Source organism: Homo sapiens, chromosome 1 (assembly GCF_000001405.40).
Source record: "Homo sapiens chromosome 1, GRCh38.p14 Primary Assembly".
Taxonomy (NCBI): domain Eukaryota; kingdom Metazoa; phylum Chordata; class Mammalia; order Primates; family Hominidae; genus Homo; species Homo sapiens.
The window spans coordinates 10,800,296-10,820,907 of record NC_000001.11 but is presented as its reverse complement, the minus strand read 5'-3'; the positions used below and the strand labels follow the sequence as shown (position 1 = coordinate 10,820,907).

The following is a 20,612-nucleotide window of genomic DNA, read 5'->3' as shown; positions in this document are numbered from 1 at the left end:
CCTGGGCAACAGAGTAAGACTGTCTCAAAATAAATACATAAATAAATAAAATAATAGCGGTGATTATTATCATTATTCCAGTGAGCTTCCATGCTTCATTTCACACCGTACCCCCAGGCCCCGTCCCCAGCCCAGGCCAAGCTGCGGCCCCGGGGTGCCCCCTTCCTGTTCCCACCCCTCTTGAAGGTCAGGCCTCCCCAAGGTTATCTGTGTTTTTCCCTGGATTCTGTGAAGTCACACAGGTCACACTCTGGGGCTGAAAAGTGTTGCTTTTTATAGCCTTCCCTGATGGCCAGGAATGCCTGTGGGGCCCGTCCTAGGGAGTCCTGTCCCCGGAGCAGAGACACCTCCAGGGGTTGGGGGCTCTTCAGTCACACCAGCCCAACACCCCAGCAGTCTGGGGCCCTCTAGGCCAGGCCCCCACCCCAGCCAGGTGTCAGAGTGGCGGGGAGGCTGGCCAAGAAGGTCAAAGTGCCCTGGACAGAGAGCCGGGACTCCTGGGTTCCAACTCTGGTCTTGGGCAGCCATTATCCCTCTCTAGGCTTCAGTTTCCCCATCTGTAAAATGGGAACGTTGGGCCTTGCCTGCTTCCCACGGTGGGGAAGTATCCGGAGGCTTGGAAAGAATGGGGCAGAGGGTCAGCGGGTCCCCCAGCTAGGCCCCCATGATGGCAAGAGAGGGAAAGGGACAAGGGCAAAGCCGGGCAAAGACGGCGTCAGAGCGTCATTGATTTTGTGGAAGGATGCGGTGGGAGGAGGGAGGTGTGTCTCTGTGTGGCCGACACCCTGCCCCCTCCACCTTGTTTCCTCCTCACCCTGAGCCTTGCAGGAGGCACACTCATCACACAGCTTACTGGTGGAGAAACGGAGGCTGGCAGCATGGGCTTGGTTTTCCCAGGGTCACTGGCTCCTGTCCCCGGTTGGGGCGTCTCAGCAGGCAGCCCTAGGTGATGGCTGGCTGCCGAGGACCAGAGTTGGGGCCTGTGTGGGCACCCTCGGCGTGGGAGGTCTGTACCTCTCCTTCCGCTGGCCAGCCTGGCCCACGCCTGGCAGCTCACCCACGAGTCCCTCTATCCCCGCCCCTCCCAGTGCCCCCTGGAAGGAGCTTGACTCTGGGGTCCTAACTGGGCCCTGACCAGCCCGAGAGCAGCCAAGGGCTGGCTCAGCAAGAGGGAGGCTGCACTTTGCTTCCCTCCTTCGCCCTCCCGCCCCTCTCTCCGCCCTCTCTCCCCTCTGCCCCCTCCCCCGTTTAATCTGGTTCTTATCAAGGATAATAACATTCAGCGACAATCACCCAGCTGATTGCCCCCACACCCTGATTCAGCAATACAGAAGCCCATGGCCTGCGCTACCTGAGGAGGCCTCTGTGGAGGAGACCACCCCCACTCCCCCACCCAATGGGGCTTCTACCAACACCCTCATCACCCCCACACCTGGCTGGGTCCCCAGAGCACCTCCAGGGAGGGGACGCAGCCTCCCATCTCTACACATCTCTCAAAGCTGTTTCCTTTCCTCCAGGACCTGCCACAAGAGCCCAAGGACTCCTGTGGTGCCCATCTGCCCATCCCTCTCTCCCAAGAACAGCAAGCAGCAGCTCCCATTCACTGAACACTGACTTTGCGTCATGCTCTGCAGTGTTTGGGGCAGGTTCTCACTGGATCATGAATAACCAGGACTATTCTTAACCCTGTTTTATTCAGAGATGAGGAAACTGAGGCTCAGAGAGGTCAAGTCGCTTGCCCAAGTTCACACCGCTGGGCAGGGGCAAAATCAGGATTCGAACTCAAGACCGCTGGATCCCAGAATCCAGACTGAAGTGCTGTACATACTGCCAGCGGCCTGTGCCCTGCCAGAGGGAGAGCACCTGCCAGGCAGTGTCCCGTCCTCACACAACTGGGGTGGCTCTGCCCCAAGGGAGATGGACCTGAGACCAAGATCCCTCCCTCTCTGCCCTGAGCCTTGACATGGCAGAGCTGAGAGTGGGGGTTCCTGCTGCAGCCCAAGCCCGGGCCAGCTGCCAGGGCTGAGCCTGGGGTGCCTGCACCCCATGGGGACCTTTGTCCCTTTAATAGGTCCTCCTGGGTACAAGATGTCCCAGGGCGGAGGGTGCAGCTGGAGTGCCAGGTCTGGGCAAGCCCTGCCCGGGGCACTCCCCAGTCTCTGGAGCTTGGGGGGAGGGCAGCCTTGTCTTTAACTGCAGCCATTGGTTTCCCTGCAGACAAGAACTGTGGCCCGCAGTCACCCCCAGCCAGAGCAAGACTTAGGGGTCTTAGGTATGGTGGTGGCCAGAGGCACAGCCTGGCACTCTCCTAAACATCACCCACGATGTTTGTACAGATGCCCCACCCCTCCCACCTGCTTTCAACCTCACGCCTCTTGCTCCTGTTGCCTGTATCCTGGTCTCCACAATCCCTAGAAAGCATCCGCCCTCCTCCCTCCCAACTACTTTGAGCCTCCACGGGCTTCAAGGCCCTGTTCTCAGCACCTCCCTCAGGAAGCCCTCCCTGCCTGCTGCAACACACACTAGTCTGCCTTTCCCTCCTGGAACTCATGAAGTTCCTGGTGTAGGGTTATCTTTGGCCAGGCACGGTGGCTCATGCCTATAATCCCAGCACTTTTGGAGGCCGAGGCGGGTGGATCATCTGAGGTCAGGAGTTTGAGACCAGCCTGGCCAACATGGTGAAACCCTGCCTCTACTAAAAATACAAAAATTAGCCAGGCATGGTTGGGGGCAACTGTAATCCCAGCTACTTGGGAGGCTAAGGTGCAAGAATCACTTGAACCCGGGAGGCGGAGGTTGCAGTGAACCGAGATCACACCACTGCACTCCAGCCTGGGCGGCAGAGCAAGACTCTGTCTCAAAAAAGAAAAAGAAAGAAAGAAAGAAAGAAAGAAAGAAAGAAAGAAAGAAAGGAAGGAAGGAAGGAAGGAAGGAAGGAAGGAAGGAAGGAAGGAAGGAAGGAAGGAAAGAAAGAAAGAAAGAAAACCTTATCATCTGTCAGTTCTCTTCTGCCTGCATTGGTTGAGCCCCTACTGTATGCCAAGCCCAATGCTGTGCTCTACGGGGAAAAGTAAAATATTATTAGCTCATGGTACTGGCCTTGTATATGCTCTCAGGCCTGGAGGAGAGGAGATGACATGTGCCTTCCTAGAGTCCCTTTCTAAATAGCCAAGTTCTTCTTCCACCCATACCCCCTGGGTCTGAGGGCTCCAGTCCTCAGGGGCGCAAGCACCCCAGGCTCAGCCCTGGCAGCTGTTCATAGTATGTGCTCAATAAATCCTTGCTGGTTGAAGAATGAGCTGAATGAAGGTGCCAGTACCAGTGGGCTTGCTTCATGTCCTTCTCTGAAGACAGGGACCAGGTGATGTCCTACACGCAGGAAAAGCCAGAGTTTCTGGGAACTTGCAGGGGGGTCAAGGCTAGGGAGGCAGGAGCCAGGAAGGTGCTGTCTCATTTGAGACCTTACAACAGAGGGGTGGGGGCAGGGAGCAGGTAGGAAGAGCATTCCCTGGGAAGCCACAGCAGGGGCAAAGGTGGGGGCTAGACCACCTGGGCCTGGGGAAGTGAGTGCAGGCCAGTGCATTGGAGAGGGGGAGCCCCAGCGAAGAGAGGAGAGGGTGAGGCCAGAGAGGGTGGTGGGACCTTGCGAGTCATGTGAAGGGACCTGGACCAGGCCCTGCAGGCCCCAGGAGCCTCCGATGGGCTTTGAGCAGGGGACTGTGGGCTCAGGTTTGCCACTGCAAGAACGGCAGGTGGGCAGGGCCAGCAGCCATCAAGGAGGAGGCTGCAGAATCCCAGGGGAGCCTGGGCGGCAGAATTCCCTCTCCTCTTCCTCCGGCTCGTTCTGGGACTCCTACATCTTAGCCTCTTGGGACCCCGAGGGCTTATAGATGCAGACAGGAACTGTGCCCCCCAGTCGCCCCAGGCAGGGCAATCAGGGCATGAGTTCTCAAATCTTCTTCCCCTACCAAGGACAGCAGCTACTTAGGGTAGCGGCCTAGAGGCCTAGAGCTGGGAGAGGCTCTTGCTTGAGTTTGACAATGAGCTGAGGCGCAAACCCAGGCCCCCGGCCTCAGACCGAAGTGCCCCTTCCCCACCATGGACAAGGAAGGGTAGTGGGCATCTGTGGGAATGAGGGTCCATCAGGGTATCCCTGCTCAGGCCACAGACAAATATGATCTCGCATAGTCCTGGCAAGACCAGGGCATTTAGAATGGGCCAGAACGGAGGCTGAGAATAACAAGTATCTTCCAAGGAATAAGGGTGGGGAGCGACAGGGAACCAGGTTCCAGTGTAGGACCCCCTGCCAGTCTTGCTGCTTTTAAAGAGACAGCCTGTGTCATAAAGCAGTAAGGTGATTCCACGGATGACAGATAGGGATAGCAATGGCTACCCCGTCAGGCACCTAGTACGTGCTTGGCACTTTTCATGCACGATTTCATGTGCCCTCATGATAACCTTATGAAGAGGTCGTGTTAGTGACCCATTTTACAGATGAAGAAACGGAGGCCCAGGCCCAGGATGTAATTTCTGCAGCGGCTGTAAAATGGGAGAGTCAGGATTTGAATGTGTGAGGCCTGACCCTGGAGCTGTCTCTTAATGCCATCTGGCTGATGTGGGTTGTGTCAGGGGGAGAGTCAGAAAGGCTTGGGTTTGAATTCAAGCTCTGCCATTAAGTGACCTCTCTGAGCCTCAGTTTCCTCCCCACCACCCCAGAACACAGAGATGAGGACAAGTCCACCTCCTGAGGTTTCTGTGAGGACGTAAGACGATGCATTTCACATGCCCGGAACACAGAGGGGCTTGGGAGCACCTGCCCACCTTCCTTTCCAGCAGCCAGCCTGACCCTGCCTGGCCTCTGTCAGGTGCCCACACCCCTGTCTGGGCACCTTCAGTCTCTGCCCCACACCCATTTGCATGCCAGGCTGCCAGCCTTGGCAGGTGAGCCAGGCACGCCTGCCTCCTCCCCCTCCTGTGGGTGTCAGGGAAAGAGCTGGGAGCCGAGCAGGGGCAGGGGCCTGTCAGGGCTCTTACCCCTTTGGGCTGGAGCTGGGGAAAGTGGGCACTGGGCACAGAGGGCAGCCCTCCTCTCTAAGGGCCCCCAAGAGTGCTGGTAGGTGTCGACTCTGGAGAAAGGTGCAGGGCTCCCTCTGCCTCTTCGTCCCGCCTACTTCCTCAGCCCTCGATAAAGGTGTTTAGCCAGCAAACAAAACAGACCAGGCCCATTTCTCAGAAGCCTTTGGCTCCCCTGAGATGCCAAATAGCCGCTCACTCTTCCGCCTCCACGGACTGGCTTTGGTGTTCATGCTGGTTGGGGTGAGTGCTCTGAGCCTCAACACCTTCATCTATAAAATGGGAGTGAGACTCTCTCCGTGGATGGTCTTGAGGCTTCAGTAAGAGTGCATGGGGTGACAGCTATTTTAGCTTAACCACAGATTCTCCGGCCCTAGTAAGCTCCCAGGCTGAAGTTCCCCCTCTTGAGCACTTGGGGAAACTCAGGACCTGCCCCCAAGCTCCTAGGTTAGTAGAGGTGGGAAATTGAACCCAGGAGTTCACACTCCCGCCTCTGCCTGTTCTTGAGAGGGTGGTGCCAAGATACGGTCTCCTCTCCCAAGGGCCCAGAAGAATTTGGACAGGGAAGAAAAACAAGCCCCAGCCTAATGTTTTTCATTTCTGTCCTGAACAATGCAGTTTCTGGGCTGATTGTTAAGCAAATATTGCAGGAGGCAGGGCCTCAGAGCTGATGCAGGCTGGGAACACTATCAGAGCCACAGCTCCAAGGCCAGGGCCCCGGCCTCTGCCACCCACAGATCCTTCAGCGCTCCAGGTCCCCTAGTTGGCCCTCCCCGAGGTCTAGCCACCTGTGCAGAGGGGCTTCAGGTCCTGGAGGCTGTGTGAGTCCCACCCTGGGGTGAAGGCGTCATAGAGACTGTCTGGCCCACAATGTCAGGTCTCTTCTCCCTCCCTCCACCCTCCTTGGGGGCAACTGGGAGTTTGATCCACTGTCCCAGCTTGTGCTGGACTGCGGGGTTTCTCGTGACATGGGACTTTCAGTGTTAAACCAGTAGAATCTCAAGCAAATCGGGGTGATTGTTCACTCTGCAGGCCTCAGAGAATGAAATGGGAAGATTCCTTAGAAGACGATGATGATAATAACAAAAACAGCAACCGTTCATACTAATACAGCTAACCATTTATTGAGCGATCACTAGGTGCCAGGCACCATAAGAGGAGCTTTACAGGTAGCATCTCACTTATGCCCACAACAGGCCTTGCGGAGATTCATTAGTCCCATTTTACAGCCGAGAAAACCGAGGCTCAGGACCTGACTTGCACGAGGTCATGCAACTAGGAAGCGGCAGAGCAGAGAGTCCGGTGCAGTCTGAGTCCAAAGCCCTAGGTTTCAGTTACCATCTGCCCCATCTGGGAAGTTGACCTTGGCATGACACAGATGGTGAAATCAAGATCCAGTGAGGCGGACAGCGCCCTACTCTGAGCTGGTGCTCTGTCAGCGTGTCTGGCTTCAGGGGACCTCTTGGTCCAGCTCCTGAAAACACACACCAGTTGGTCTGGGGGAATTCAATGCTTCCTTCTTGTCTAAAGGGCCCCAGAAACTGGCCCCAGTACTGGGGCTCAGTGCAGCCCCTGCGATCTTGCTTTTCCTTGGAGAGCCTGTTGCAAAGTCGGACAAACCCTGGCTTGCTCATTGTGAGAGAGTCCCGTCCAAGGCTGAGGCATGGCAGGGTCTCCAAACTCCAGCCCTCTCCCAGGTTCCTGAGGACTGGAAGGCAAGGGTCAGATCTGGTCTGGATACTTTTCTCCCCAGAGGCTGGGCCTGCCCATGTGGTCCCCTCCTCACTGTCCCCGGGCTTGGCTGGCACCCGTGGCGGGGAGGGCGCTGGCACTCTGGGGGTCTGTTTGAGGTTTCCTCCGGCGGCTGGTGGCAGCGTGTACAGCTCACTAATTAATTAGCGCTTAAGTACTTAGCATCCTCCTGCATCGTGTCAAACGAGGATTTGAGTCTTAATTCCCTGTGTAGGTAACGGTGGGAATGTGCCGGGGAGAGCGGTCAGGACTTAGAGGAAATGCTTCCCCTTGCCTGGATGCAGGCTGAGAACATTCGCTGCTGTGGGAGCAGAGCACCTGGACCCCCAAACCCTCATCTTCCCCCCATTTACTTACCTCCCAGGAGCTTTACTGTGGCACAGAGGTGTAACCAGGCAGGCTCTGTGGCCACACTGCCTGGGTTCTACTCCCACCCACATCACCTGCTACCTGTGTGCCCCCAACGGAGTCACTTCTTCATCTCCTTGGGTCTTGATGTGCATGTCTGGAGGGTTTGATGGGGTGGCATCTACCCACAGGATGCCTACAGAGATTAAACAAGCTAGCATGTAGAAATTCTGCGGAACGTGGCTGGCACATGGCAGGCCCTGATTAACAGGAACTATCATCTTTCATGCGCCCACCCTCTTGGTTATGTTTTTATTTATTCATCAAACTTCTTTCAGATGTCTACTATGGACCTGCTGAGCACAGGGCTGGGTTCCTGGGGCACAGAGTTGAGTAAGTCTCTCGACCCCCTAAGCCTTACTCTGACCATCTATGAAATGGGGATGATGACAGACTCTGTCTCAAAGGGGTGAGGGTGAGGCTTAAATAAGATGCTGTAAGTCAAAGCCCTCAGCACTTACTATGGGTGGCAGGAGGGGTAATGGCCCCAGGAGAACTGGGCTGGGGGCTGCAGGGGGGCCCCACCTCCAGCCCAGCATGGCTCACAGGACCAGTCTGGGAAGGTGGCTCCAGCCCTTGGCTGCCAGTGCTGTGCCAGCCTCTGGGCAGGGCCACAGGGACTGCTCGGGAGGGCTCCCCCACTCAGTGTTGGGACTCGAGGACATGGGGTGAGGGTGTCAATGGGTCCTTAGAAGGGGAAGGGTGGTGGGAGCCTCAGGGAAGGCCAGGCTGACTCTGACCCTCTTTTTCCTAGTGCTTATGGCCCAGGAACTGCTGGGCCCCAGGACTGGGCGGTTTCCATGGTTGCTGCCACAGAAGCAGCATTGCTGGAGTCAGTAGTGTGGCTGCCTTGCCATGGCCGTGGTGGGTCTGCCTGGGGGTATCTCAATCCCGCAGAGTGCCAGGCAACCACTCCAGCCTGCTGTTGAAGGCCCCTGGCCACCCCTGGGTAAGTAAAAGATGTCATTTGGCGGTGTGGCAGCGAAGGGGGAGCCAGGCAGAGTACGAGCAAGAAGGTAGTGGCAGGGGGTCGAGGAGGGTGCTAGAAACTGAGTCTGAGGTTCTTAGATTGGCTCTGCTCTGTGACCTGAAGAAAGCCGCACAACCTCTCTGAGCTTTGATTTCCTCGTGTGAAACGAGGCTAGCAATTGTGCAGGAGACAGTGTCTCCAGATGAGTGCTCTGTAAATTGATAACATGTCATAAGACTTCTGCAATTATGTTATTTAGCAGTCAAAATTGGCTAACGGTTCTATGGAAACCTTTACCCACTATATTATAAACCCCTTGCAGGAAAAGACTCAAATTCAACTCTGCACCCACTATGGTCCTAGCACTAACTTATGCCCATGAGAAAAATACATGCCATAGGCCAGGCACGGTGGCTCACGCCTGTAATCCCAGCACTTTGGGAGGCCGAGGTGGGTGGATCACCTGAGGCCAGGAGTTCAAGACCAGCCTGGCCAACATGGCGAAACCCCGTCTCTACTAAAAATACAAAAATCAGCTGGGCCTGGTGGCACACACCTTTGTAATCCCAGCTACTCGGGAGGCTGAGGTAGGAGAATCGCTTGATCTCAGGAGGCAGAGGTTGCAGTGAGCCGAGATCACACTATTGCACTCCAGCCCGGGCAACAGGAGCAAAACTCCATCTCGAAAAAACCAAACCAAACCAAAACAAACAAACAAAACAAAAACCACCATGTATGCCAGGCCCACTATGTGCCAGGCACTGTGTTGAGCAATGGGCAGTCACTGTGTCTCATCAACTCTTACCCTCTCACAGAGGAAGAAACTAGGCTTGGCCTGGTTAAGTCACTTGCCTAAGTTCTCCTAGCTAGTAAGTGGTAGAGCCAAGATTCAAACCCAGCTCAGCTGAACCTGACACTTGGTAAGTATGTGTAGAGTGAATAAATAAACAAATGAGTGTGTGATTGCAGGAATATCATTGGTTAGAGGAAGATGAGTACCTCAGCCTCCCGAGTAGCTGGGATTACAAAGGTGTGTGCCACCAGGCCCAGCTAATTTTTGTATTTTTAGTAGAGACGGGGTTTTGCCATGTTGGCCAGGCTGGTCTTGAACTCCTGGCCTCAGGTGATCCACCCACCTCGGCCTCCCAAAATGCTGGGATTATAGGCGTGAGCCACTGTGCCTGGCCTATGGCATGTATTTTTCTCATGGGCAAAAGTTAGTGCTAGGACCATAGTGGGTGCAGAGTTGAATTTGAGTCTTTTCCTGCAAGGGGTTTATAATATGGTGGGTAAAGGTTTCCGTAGGACTTTTAAGTGAAACTATAAAGGCAGTGGCAATTGAGTAAAGAGTTCCCCGTGGTTTTTGACTGTTTCAAGCTATTACCTATTATTTGCACAGAGTTCCAGAAGTTTAAGAGACACACACAAAATTATCCAACCCAGAAGAAGAGTGCACTTCCAGGGACAATTTAAGCATTCAGCTGGTAGCAGTAAAGCACCTGCTGCAAGCCAAGTGCGTGGATAGGAGCTGTGGTTACAACCCTGGATGGGCCAGACATTATCCTCCTCTCACGGTGCTAGTGGTGACTGGCAAGGGAGCTGACTTCACAGCATGAGGGCCACCTGGAAGGTAACCTGTCTCAGGTGGCAGGTTGGGGACTTGGGGCCAACCAGATTTCTCCTCCTTTCTGTGTCTGTTCCCCTCCATGAAATGAAGAGTTTAAGAACCAGGGTGTTATCTAACCACATCACCCTGCTTCCATATTCAGACCCAGGGTCTGAAAGAAATGAGATGGAGACAAAATGAAAGCAGAAGGTTGGAGGAATGAAATTCACAATAAAACCTACAATCTGCTCCTTGACCAAAATGATAGCTCAGGCACGCTGAGCACTCACTATGGGCCAGGCGCTGTGCTAAGACCTTCACGTACTTCATCTCACTCTGCCCTCTCAACAGCCGCATTTTCCAGTTGACAGACTGAGGCTTGGAGATGTCACCCTGCCCAGGGTCAAACGGCTAGTAAGTGGTAGAGCTGGGATTCAGACCCCAGGGTGTCTGACTGTGGAGACTGCAAGGTCAGCTCTGCTCTGTTGCCTCAGCAGGTCTATTCCTTGGATTGAAAGAGCTCGCTGCAGTCTGATTTCCCACAGAACAGTAGCATGGAAAGAGTGGAGGAAGGCAGGGGAAAATTCCCAGGCTGGTAGCTGGTGTTCTATCTGCAAGGCTGCCTTAGCTCAAGCGGCCCCAGCCTCCGGGCAGCTGGTGGGAAGGTAAACTGCTGAAACTGAAGATTTGCAAAACCCACCATGCTCCAGTTAACGAGCCTCTTGGAAAACCTCTCTGAAGGTTCCTGGCAGTGTCCCTGTGGGAGCCAGCTCATGTATTTTAAGACAAAAAAAAAATCATTAAAGAAGTTAGGACTCTGGAGTGGCCGTAAATGTAAAATATTGGTGGTTCGACAGTGTATCCCTAGCAGCCGTAGGCAGAGTTCATCTTGATGAGCCAGAACCATGTCCAAGAAATGAATCATTTTGTTTTCCTCAGAGGGCTCCCCCTGAATCTTCCCAGGCCGTCTGCTCCAAAGTTTTTAACTTGCCCACCTAGCTCAGGACCCACTAAGACCACGACTGCTCCTAGCCAGGAAAGGGAATAGGGTTGGCAGAATTGTAGAGCAAGCTGGGCCCCAAACACTTCTGGAACGGTGCCTGAGAGATTCCATTTTCCAGATGGCCCCCAAGCCTTCCCTTACTTTGGTTGTTGGTAACCATAACTGTCACACCAAAGGCACTTGTCTTCATGACATTCTGGAGGAGGGAGGTCATGGCATGTGGCACCTCTTAGGCACTCCGTGAGTGCTTGTGGATGGTGGGGGCAAACACATGGTTTGCATGGTTTGGGCCTCCCACATATGGCACCTGCTTGTCTCTTTGGCTGATGGGTGTCTTGGTTTCCCTTTGCCCAGCAAAGGTGGTACCACCATCCAGCCAATCTTTTATTCTGCTCCCTCTTTCATTTGGTGAACCATAGTGAGGATCCAGATCTAGAGGATTTAAAGTGTTGGGGACCCCCTGCCAGCTCAGATCAAATTTAAAGGTGTTGGGGACCCCCACCTGCCTCAGATCAGATTAAAGTCAGTGGCAGCCCAGGCCAGGAATTGAGGCTAGAGGGGGGATTTCCAAGGTCCCGCCCTAGCCCCCAGCTCCCACATCCAGGGTGACTTCCAACAAACCACCTGACCCCTCCCCATCCCCTCTTCCCAGCTTAGAGGCGGGGAGGGTGACATTGAGCTTCGGCTCTGGGGCGTCCTAAGGGTTAACTAATTAATGGTCGGAAAGTGCTTTGAAAAAATAAAGTGCTGGATAATGGGAAGGGCAATTATGTTGGGAGAAACTCCTAATTTGGCTGGAATTGATGTTAATGATAAAGTATCTGAAACATGTAGCAAGCAAGCGTGATTGTATTTTATATGACAGAGAGAGACACTTACACGCAGGGGACACGGACAGCGGTTAATTTGGTTAAATAAAGTGAAAGATAAAAGGAATGCGGACACCGCAGGACTCGCTGTTTATCCGGACTCAATGTAACACTTTGCAATTGGATCGGGGCGCTTTGACTCTTATTTATTTGTTTGTGATGAAAATAAATGGGAAAGTGCCAGTTTTATGGCTTAAAAGGAGATGGTAGAAAGTAGAATCCAAGAAGGAGTCCCAGGGCTTCCGACGAGGCAGGCTCAGGCTGCGTTCCCAGGAAGGAGAACAAGGTCTCCGAGAGAGTCAAGGTGGGTGAGGACATCCTCACTCCACCCCACCGGAGCTGGGGGAATCTCAGAGGGCAACCAACATAGCTCTCACCTTCCAGAGGGAGAAACTGAGACCCAGGAAAGGGAGAGGGTATACGACTGAGTATAGGAGCCAGCATTAACTAAGCAATTCTGTTCGCTATGATCAGATGAGATGTTATGATCCCATTTAATCCCTAAAGCAAGCGTATGAGGTGGGTACCATTTTCACTGCCATATTACAGAAGAAGAAACAGAAGCTCAGAGAGGTCAAGCAAGGAGCCCAAGATCACACAGCCAGGAAGTGGTGGAGCAGGGCGTTGGGCTCGGGCAGCCTGACTCTGGGAGGAAAACTCCACGAATGGTGACTTTGGGACTAAGCCAATGCTCTTAATATTCATGTCCCTCTTCTCCTTGACTACGTTCTGCTGAACAGGGAACCAGGAGAAGGAAGTGAGGAGACTCTTGTCCCAGTCCAGGAAAGACTGAATGGGGCTGCCCAGGGTGATAGGGATGCCTGGTCTGGGACCAGAGCAATGGCAGGGGTTTGAGCCCTAGTTTGGGGCCCCAGAGGACAGCATGAATTTGCCCCAAGGAAGAACAGGAGACTTGGTTTCTGGAAGGTCTGTGAGGTCCCCGCAGGTCCATATTAGTATTCAGTATTTATAATATTTCCATAATGGTAAAACAAAAGAAAACAAGCAGAGAGAATGCATTTTTAATCACCAATCATTTCTCTTTGTTTGTTGTGAATGAACAGCGAGGTGAAATAGTATTTCATAATCACCCCATTCGAATTTTCCTCCCCACGAAGCGCCGAGAAATCTCTAAATAAAATAAATAAACAAGCCAAGACCTTAAAATAAATTCCAGAGGGTAAAGTGCTACGTGTGGGTTATCACAGCTGCGGGGAGGCTGGGGCTGGGAGGTGGGGAAGGGAGGACAAAGGGCCAGGGGCCTTGTCAGTTATCAGGAATCGGATCCCCCAGATCCAGAGACTGACAAGGAAGGGCAGAAGATCAGAGGAATGGTTTGAAGATCTGCAGCAGCATGGAGCTGGAACAGACTCCCCCCTACTTCATTTCTTCCTTCTTTTTCTTTCAGAATCTTCTGGTCCTCCTTCTCTCACTGAAAACCAAAGAAACTCTTGTTCCCTGTCCCCTTGGCACTTTACAACCTCTCACTCAAAATACTCCTCATCAGGGGCTCTTTGGATAATGTCTGCCTGCCCTCTGAGCTAGTCCAACCTTCTCAAGTGATAGAGGAAGAAACCATAGCAAAGAGAACATGGAAGGAACATATCTAAGACTCTCCAGCAAGTTAATGACAGGGTTGGGCCTGGAAGCCAGGGGGCTTGACTCCCTGTCAAGTCAGCTTTCATCTACCTGCACTTATCTCTAGATGTCTTTGAGATGCCTCCTATGCCGCTGGATTTTCTCCACTGGCTGTTCCCAATTTTTTGTTTTGTGCATCTCTGCATCTCCAGACCTTCAGGTCCTAGCAAGGTGCCTGGAACATGGGGTCACTCATCAAATGTTTGTTAGATATGTGGATGGATGAATGGATGGATAAATGAATGAATTGGTGGGTGGATGGATGGAAGGGTGGATGGATGGAAGGATGAATGGGTGAATTGGTGGGTGGATGCGTGGAAGGGTACATAGATGGATAGATGGATGAATGGATGGATGGATGAAAGGTTGGGTGGATGGATGGATGGATGGATTAGTGGATGGATGAATGGAAAGATAGAAGCTGGCTGGCTGGATGGATGAATTGGCGGGTGGATGGATGAAAGGATGGATGGATGAATTGGCGGGTGGATGGATGAAATGATGGATGGATGGATAGACGAGTGGATGGATGGAAAAATGGAAGGTAGATAAATGAATAGATGGGTAAACGGATGGATAGATTAAAGGTTGGGTGAGTGGATGGATGGATTATTGGAGGGATAGATGGATGGATTATTGGAGGCATAGATGGATGAATGGATGGATAAATGTTGAGTGAGTGGATAGACCGATTATTTGATGGATAGATGGATAAATGCATAAGAGGCTAAAGCTGATTTCATCCCCTTCCTGGCCAGTGGAAAAGGGCACCCTGGATGGCCACTTGCTGGATAGCTAACGTCAATCACAGTGTAGTCTAGTTAACATGTGGGAGTCCTGGCACCCTGAAATTATGTCTTCAACAACTCCTTGAAGGACTCTGAAAAAAATCACCTTCTAGAAAAGAGGCCTCCCTCCTGGTTGAAATTTGAGGGATAGCGCCAGGGCCAGGCAGACCCCATTTTCAAGTAAGTCATATGGTGGGAAAGAGCCCTGGCTGGGGCCAGAGGACCCAGGCTCTGTTCTCATTCTGTCACTAGCTCTGCATGGTCACTAGGGTCACTGGTGAGCAAGCGGCTTCCTCTCTCTGGGCTTTAATTTTTCATTCTGAACCATTCTCTGTTCAATGTTCTAGGCTGTGGGTCTGGCGCCTTCGATGTGGACACCTTGCCAGGGCTTGGGAGAACTTCACCTCTGGGTCTCTCTCCCTTTTTTTTTTTTGAGATGGAGTTTCACTCTGTTGCCCAGGCTGGAGTGCAGTGGCGCCATCTCGGCTCGCTGCAACCTCCATCTCCCAGGTTCATGCTATTCTCTTGCCTCAGCCTCCCAAGTAGCTGGGATTATAGGCACCCGCCACCACCCCCAGCTAATTTTTGTATTTTTACTAGAGACGGGGTTTTGCCATGTTGGCCAGGCTGGTCTCGAGCTCCTGACTTCAGGTGATCCGCCTGCCTCGGCCTCCCAAAGTGCTGGGATTACAGGCGTGAGCCACCATGCCCGGCCTGGGGTTCTTGTTTTGTCAACTGGGTGGCCCCTCTCCCTGGTCCCTGACCCCTTCCACCTTGAGGAGCGCCACTCGGACCTCTCCCACCCAGCCTCTTCTCTGGCAGGGCAGTGGGCACGGAGACAGCACAGAGCCTCAGGAAGCCAAGCCGCAGCCAAGACCCACACTCCTCTGAATCCTATTGAAAAAATAATAAAAAGGTAATTACTTTGTCATTACTGAACACTGGTTTGTCTTTTTTCTTTTTTTTTTTTTTAAGCCCTGACCATAAATAACGAGCCCATTACCCTTCAGAGTGGACACACACATTCATACGGGACCTGCCTCCTGGAAGGTCCTGGTTTCCTATCCATCCCCATGCCCTGACATACACCACACATCCCCCAACACGCATACACGTCGAGCACAGAGAGACTATTCGTTCACTTGTCATTTTCTAAGCACTCTGCTGGATGCTGGAAATAATCATAACAACAGTCATTATGTGTGAATCCAGGCTGAGTGCCCTGCATGAATTATCTCAATTAATTCTCCTGACAATACTGTGAGGCAGATCCTGGTTTCGTTGCCATTTTACAGATGGGGACACCGAGGCTGAGAGAGGTTGGGAGTTGCCCAAAGTCACACTGCTGGTAAGTAGCAGAGCTGAATTTGAACCCATGTGACCTAATTCAGAACTACAGCGATGATTTAGGCCAGGTGCGTTGGCTCACGCCTGGAATCCCGGCACTTTGGGAGGCCGAGGCGGGTGGATCACCTGAGGTCAGGAGTTCGAGACCAGCCTGGCTAACATGGCAAAACCCTGTCTCTACTAAAAATACAAAAATTAGCCGGGCATGGTGGCAGGTGCCTGTAATCCCAGCTACTCAGGAGGCTGAGGCAGGAGAATTGCTCGAACCCAGGAGGCGGAGGTTGCAGTGAGCCGAGATTGCACCACTGCACTCCAGCCTGGGTGACAGAGTGAGACTCCGTCTCAAAAAACAAAAAAAAAAAAAGAAAAGAAATACAGTGATGATTTAAACATAGATTTTAAAACCACACACACACCATCTAATGGGAGGGTTTAGGGAGAAGACAGTTATAACGTATGCTATGATGGAGAAAACAAGGGGGCTACGGGGGCACAGACAGAGGCGCCTAACCCAATTTGGGGCAGAGGGACATCAGGGAAGGCTCCCCAGAGGAGGTGCCACCTGTTTTGGTCTTAATGGGTGAGCTGAGGGGCGAAAGGCCTTAGAGCAGAAGGAACAGTCTAGACAGAGGTCTGGAGCTGGGAGCAAGCGGGGTAGCTTGGAGATCCGTGTGGCTGGAGCAGAGGGTGTGTGAATATGTGAGTGGGAGTGGGGAGAGGCAGGCCGGGCTGTCGCTCACATCTGGGCCAGCTTGGCACAGCAGGGCAGTCCTCCTCCTCCCCCACCCACATCCAGGGACCTGGCACTCCGGCCCGTGTGACAGGAGGGCAGCTCATCAGCAAAACAGCTCTTTCTTGCCTCCATGGCCAGCCCCGCCCTCCATGTGACGCCAGCCAAGGGTGGCAGCCGGCGCCTGCACAGGTGCCCGTCGGGAGGAAGCATAGCCACTTCCGGAGTCCCAGGGCAGGTTCCCTTTCCACACCAACTTCTGGCAAGATCGCATCCCAAGACAAAGCACCACCATGACTAGTCCCTTTGGCTTCTGCTATCAGATCTGGGAGAGGTGGGAGGGAAGAGAAAGGGGCAGGGGCTGTGTGGGCCCATGTGGCACGTGGCAGGGACCACACGGCTGTGAGAGTGTGGCTTTGCTCTGAGGACAGTGGGGAGGCTGGTCCTCCGATTTTTCCATCACTTGTTTTTCCCTGTTCCACAGGCCCTGGGGCCAGGCCTGCCCCACCCTGGCAGGCGTGGGAGGGGTTAAGGTGTTGGCCCAGGATCTTCGGGTAAGAGGTGATGTCAGCATCGGCCCTGCCCCTCACCTGGCTGGATTGCTGTGTATTTGGGTGGCTGTTGACAGCAGAAGCAGTCTCCCCATGTGCAAATACAGCACAGCCACACCTACATGGACCAGGACCCTTCTTTAAAGGGAATGCAGTCCCGCACCTCCACAAGTGCACACACACACTCCCTCCCACACAGATAAAATCACATTCACACACCTCACCACTTGGCATGAATGACACCCCTATCCACACACATCTCCCAGGCAGGCTGCTGAGGGGGCCTCGAAAAGATATATCTGCAGGGTTTCATTTCAATTCGTTCTTTAAATTCTTAAGTTCAATTCACACCCAAATACCTGCCTCTACGATGGTGGGTGTTTTTTTATTCTCTGCATTATATTTATCTCTGTATTTCACTGGGTTTCCTGAATTGTTTGCAGAGAATGTGAATTACCCTCCTTTTTTTTCTCCCCAGAAATTTAAAACAACTTTTTTCTTAAAAAAAAAGGTAGATAGTTCAGAGAATGTTAAAGCTGCAAGGGGCCATCGAGATCAGAGACCCTGGGACTAGGGAATTTCCTAAAAGGAAAATGTTAGTCACTTGCAATTCTTGTAGTTACCAGGCAGAGGTAAACATAAGTACCCCTGAAAAAGCAAATTAATTAGAACTAACTAGGAAAGAAGCGGTTGAGTCAGAGAGCAAGACAGCCTGTCCCTTGCTTGGAGCTGAATTGAGAGCTCGGACAGGGAAAATGAAAGCAGGTACAAAGTGTGGATCCTGAGCTCGGAAAACAGGTAGTATTTATGGCATAGAAATCCCTAAGGCTTTTCTGTCGAGAGAGATTTCCGGAAGGTGTGGGTGAAGGGGTAGGAGGAGGTGGGGAGCTCAACTCTGTTGAGACTGAAGGACAGAGACAGACCCTACTCCTTCTCTCCCCTCGGCTGAGAATTGCCTAAGAAGCCTGGGCTCAGTAGCTGTTCTGGAAGCCTCGGGGAACCTGTCAACGCGATGCTGTGGGCCGCAGTTCCTGGGAGACTGCCTTTCTCTCCATCCCTGCCTGCGGCTGTGGATCTCAGCAAGGCTGCTCAAACCTTGAAACAGCCCCTGCTTGTGGCCAGCACAGTTCTAATAAGGATTCATTACTAGAATCATAGACTCTTTCACCCATTAAATTAGCAGGGGTTAAAAAAAAAAAAGACAGAGAGAGAACACCAAAGGTTGGAGAGGAGACAGGAGATGTGCGCTGGTGGAAGGGCAAATGAACACAACCTTCCGGGGAGGAGGCAATCTGGCAATGGATAGGAATGGCTTCGAAATGTATGCACACTCTTGGACTCAACAATTCCACTTTAAGGAATGTGCATGATTATTTATGGACAAAGATATTCATTAGAGTTATTTATAATAATGAAAAGAATCAGAAACAAGTTCGATGTCCAAAATTTGCAACAGTGAAGTACTGCGGAAGTAAATTATGATCAACTCTACAATACGGCCATTAAAAATCATGTTGGAAAAGAATATTTAATGACCTGAGGAAGTGTTCATGCTACATACACATGTCAGACTAAAAAAAAAAAACCCCACCGTCCAGTATGTTCAGTGTGATTCTGATTTTACACAACTAAACAAAGCCAAGATCAAAAAAACAAACAAATAAAAATCCCAGACTGGAAGGAAATACACTGAAACATCAACCAGAACATTGACAACCATAGGTGGTAGGATTACAGATAATTTAAATTTGCTTCTTCCTGTTTATCTGTATTTTCTGAATTTTCTACAAAAAAACCCACATATTATATATTTAGTCAGAAACAAAGAATTACGTACTTTGCTAAAAGAATGACGGAATTTTGGGGTGGAAGAACTTGTCAAGTTCACCAACCCGGATGGGATTTGCGAACCAAGCTCAGAGTTTGGGAAAAAGCCCCTCTTGTTCTCCCTCCCCAGGACTCCCAAGAGAGACACTTGTAAATAAAATGAATGAACTCAACTTTTAAAAAGTTTTAATTAGGCCGGGCGCAGTGGCTCACGCCTGTAATCCCAGCACTTTAGGAGGCGGAGGAGGGTGGATTGCCTGAGGTCAGGAGTTCGAGACCAGCCTGGCCAACAGGGTGAAACCCCATCTTTACTAAAAATAAAAAAATGAGCCAGGTGTGGTGGTATGCGCCTGTAATCCCAGCTACTTGGGAGGCTGAGGCAGGAGAATCGCTTGAACCCGGGAGGCGGAGGTTGCAGTGAGCCAAGGTTGCGCCATTGCACTCCAGCCTGGGTGACAGAGTGAGACTCCATCTCAAAACAAACAAACAAACACCTTTTTAAAATTACTACTTGCCCAGTAATCACCATAATCACTTATCTCAGGCACTTGTTTAACTCTTCAGTTACGAAGCGTCTACTGAGCACCTACCTGATGCTAGCACCAGGCAAGGCACAGTGAGCCAGAAAAACGTGGAACCCACCCAAGGAGAACCACGAAATGAGGAACAGCCCAGGAGAAGGAACCCAGCACATCATTCAACATTTTCAAATGTAAAAAATAGTGACTCTTTGTTACCATTTATTGAGTGCTTACTATATACAAGATCTGATGCTTTGTGTTTTTTGTTGTTGTTTGTTTTTGGTTTTTGAGACAGAGTCTTACTCTGTCTCCCAGGTTGGAGTGCAGTGGCACAATCTCAGCTCAATACAACCTCTGCTTCCGGAGTTTGAGCGATTTTCCTGCCTCAGCCTCCTGAGTAGCTGGCATTGCAGGCACACACCACCACGCCTGGCTAATTTTTGTATTTTTAGGAGAGATGGAGTTTCCCCGTGTTGGTCAGGCTGGTCTTGAACTCCTGACCTCAGGTGATCCACCCTCCTTGGCCACCCGAAGTGCTGGGATTACAGGTATGAGCCACTGTGCCCAGCCTAAGATCCAATGCCTTGTACTGTAATTTCTTTGTTTCCTCTCATCTTTTACTAGATTGAAATAAGATCGACAGATTTGTTCTGCTTCCCCTTTCTCCTCTCCTAATGCAACTCACATTCAAGTTTCATCTCTTTATGAATATCAGGTAAAGGTAAAAATGCTTGTTGCATTGGGGTAAGTGGAGTAGTGAGGCTTTTGTTATCTCCCTGCCCAAGCAGCTGGTCCCAAGGGAGTCAGACTGCCTGCCTCAGTCTTGGGAAAGTTATTCTCTGTGTCCCGCTTTCCTCATCTGTACAATGGGTATATTTATAATTGCAACAGTTTCATATGGTTGTTATGTGGGTCTAATGAGATATCACGAAGGCTTAACATGGTGCCACGCCCATAATAATCACTCAATAAATATCAGTGATTGATGTACAATTTGCTTTCCATCACAGTAGAGGACCAGAAACCAAAAACTGTGGGCAGCAAGCTGAGCTGTGATTACTCTCAAGGCTTTCCCAATTACACAAACTGAAACAGACCTAACTTTATTTGTTCCACAATCAATTATTGGGAGCCTCTTGGGTGCCAGACATGGTGCTTGGCTCCTGAGCTTCTGAGATAAAGGTGCAGACTCTGTCCTCGGAGTGAGAAAGGTTTATGTGTGTGTGTAGGGGGGGTCTTCCCTGGAGATGTAGAAATGGGAGAGGCTCTTGATCACATGCAGCCTGGCTGGAGGCAGGGGGCTGGAGAGATGTTTTGATGGGGTCCTTAGCTGACCCACCTCCCTTCCCACCTGTGCAACCTCCTCTGCTGGGTACAGTTTGCCAGAGCCATCCATTTCCCCACTGCAGACCCCCCGGCCAAATGCCAGGGAGTAAAAATCTCAGCCAAGGCCACCGTGCCAACCTGGTAATTCCTGGGAAGTCCTGGGTTGTATCGGCTCACATCAGCTCCTCTTCCCCCCACCAAAC

The 20,612-nt window shown here is 51.8% G+C and overlaps 1 long non-coding RNA gene across 1 annotated transcript, besides 3 other annotated features; it reads left to right on the top strand.

Annotated features, from left to right (window-relative positions):
• Nucleotides 3,761-4,261: an enhancer, noted in NCBI's record as "H3K4me1 hESC enhancer chr1:10876704-10877204 (GRCh37/hg19 assembly coordinates)". NCBI's record gives its function as "activates a minimal SCP1, AML or CMV promoter by ChIP-STARR-seq in naive H9 embryonic stem cells {active_cell/tissue: H9 hESC(naive)}" and the evidence as "EXISTENCE:reporter gene assay evidence [ECO:0000049][PMID:30033119]".
• Nucleotides 5,250-11,748, top strand: LOC105376733 (uncharacterized). Its single transcript, XR_946954.2, has 4 exons — nt 5,250-5,316; nt 7,512-7,566; nt 7,988-8,182; nt 9,603-11,748. It is a non-coding gene; the product is annotated as an uncharacterized LOC105376733 (long non-coding RNA).
• Nucleotides 6,346-6,846: an enhancer, noted in NCBI's record as "H3K4me1 hESC enhancer chr1:10874119-10874619 (GRCh37/hg19 assembly coordinates)". NCBI's record gives its function as "activates a minimal SCP1, AML or CMV promoter by ChIP-STARR-seq in naive H9 embryonic stem cells {active_cell/tissue: H9 hESC(naive)}" and the evidence as "EXISTENCE:reporter gene assay evidence [ECO:0000049][PMID:30033119]".
• Nucleotides 16,455-17,027: an enhancer, noted in NCBI's record as "H3K4me1 hESC enhancer chr1:10863938-10864510 (GRCh37/hg19 assembly coordinates)". NCBI's record gives its function as "activates a minimal SCP1, AML or CMV promoter by ChIP-STARR-seq in naive H9 embryonic stem cells {active_cell/tissue: H9 hESC(naive)}" and the evidence as "EXISTENCE:reporter gene assay evidence [ECO:0000049][PMID:30033119]".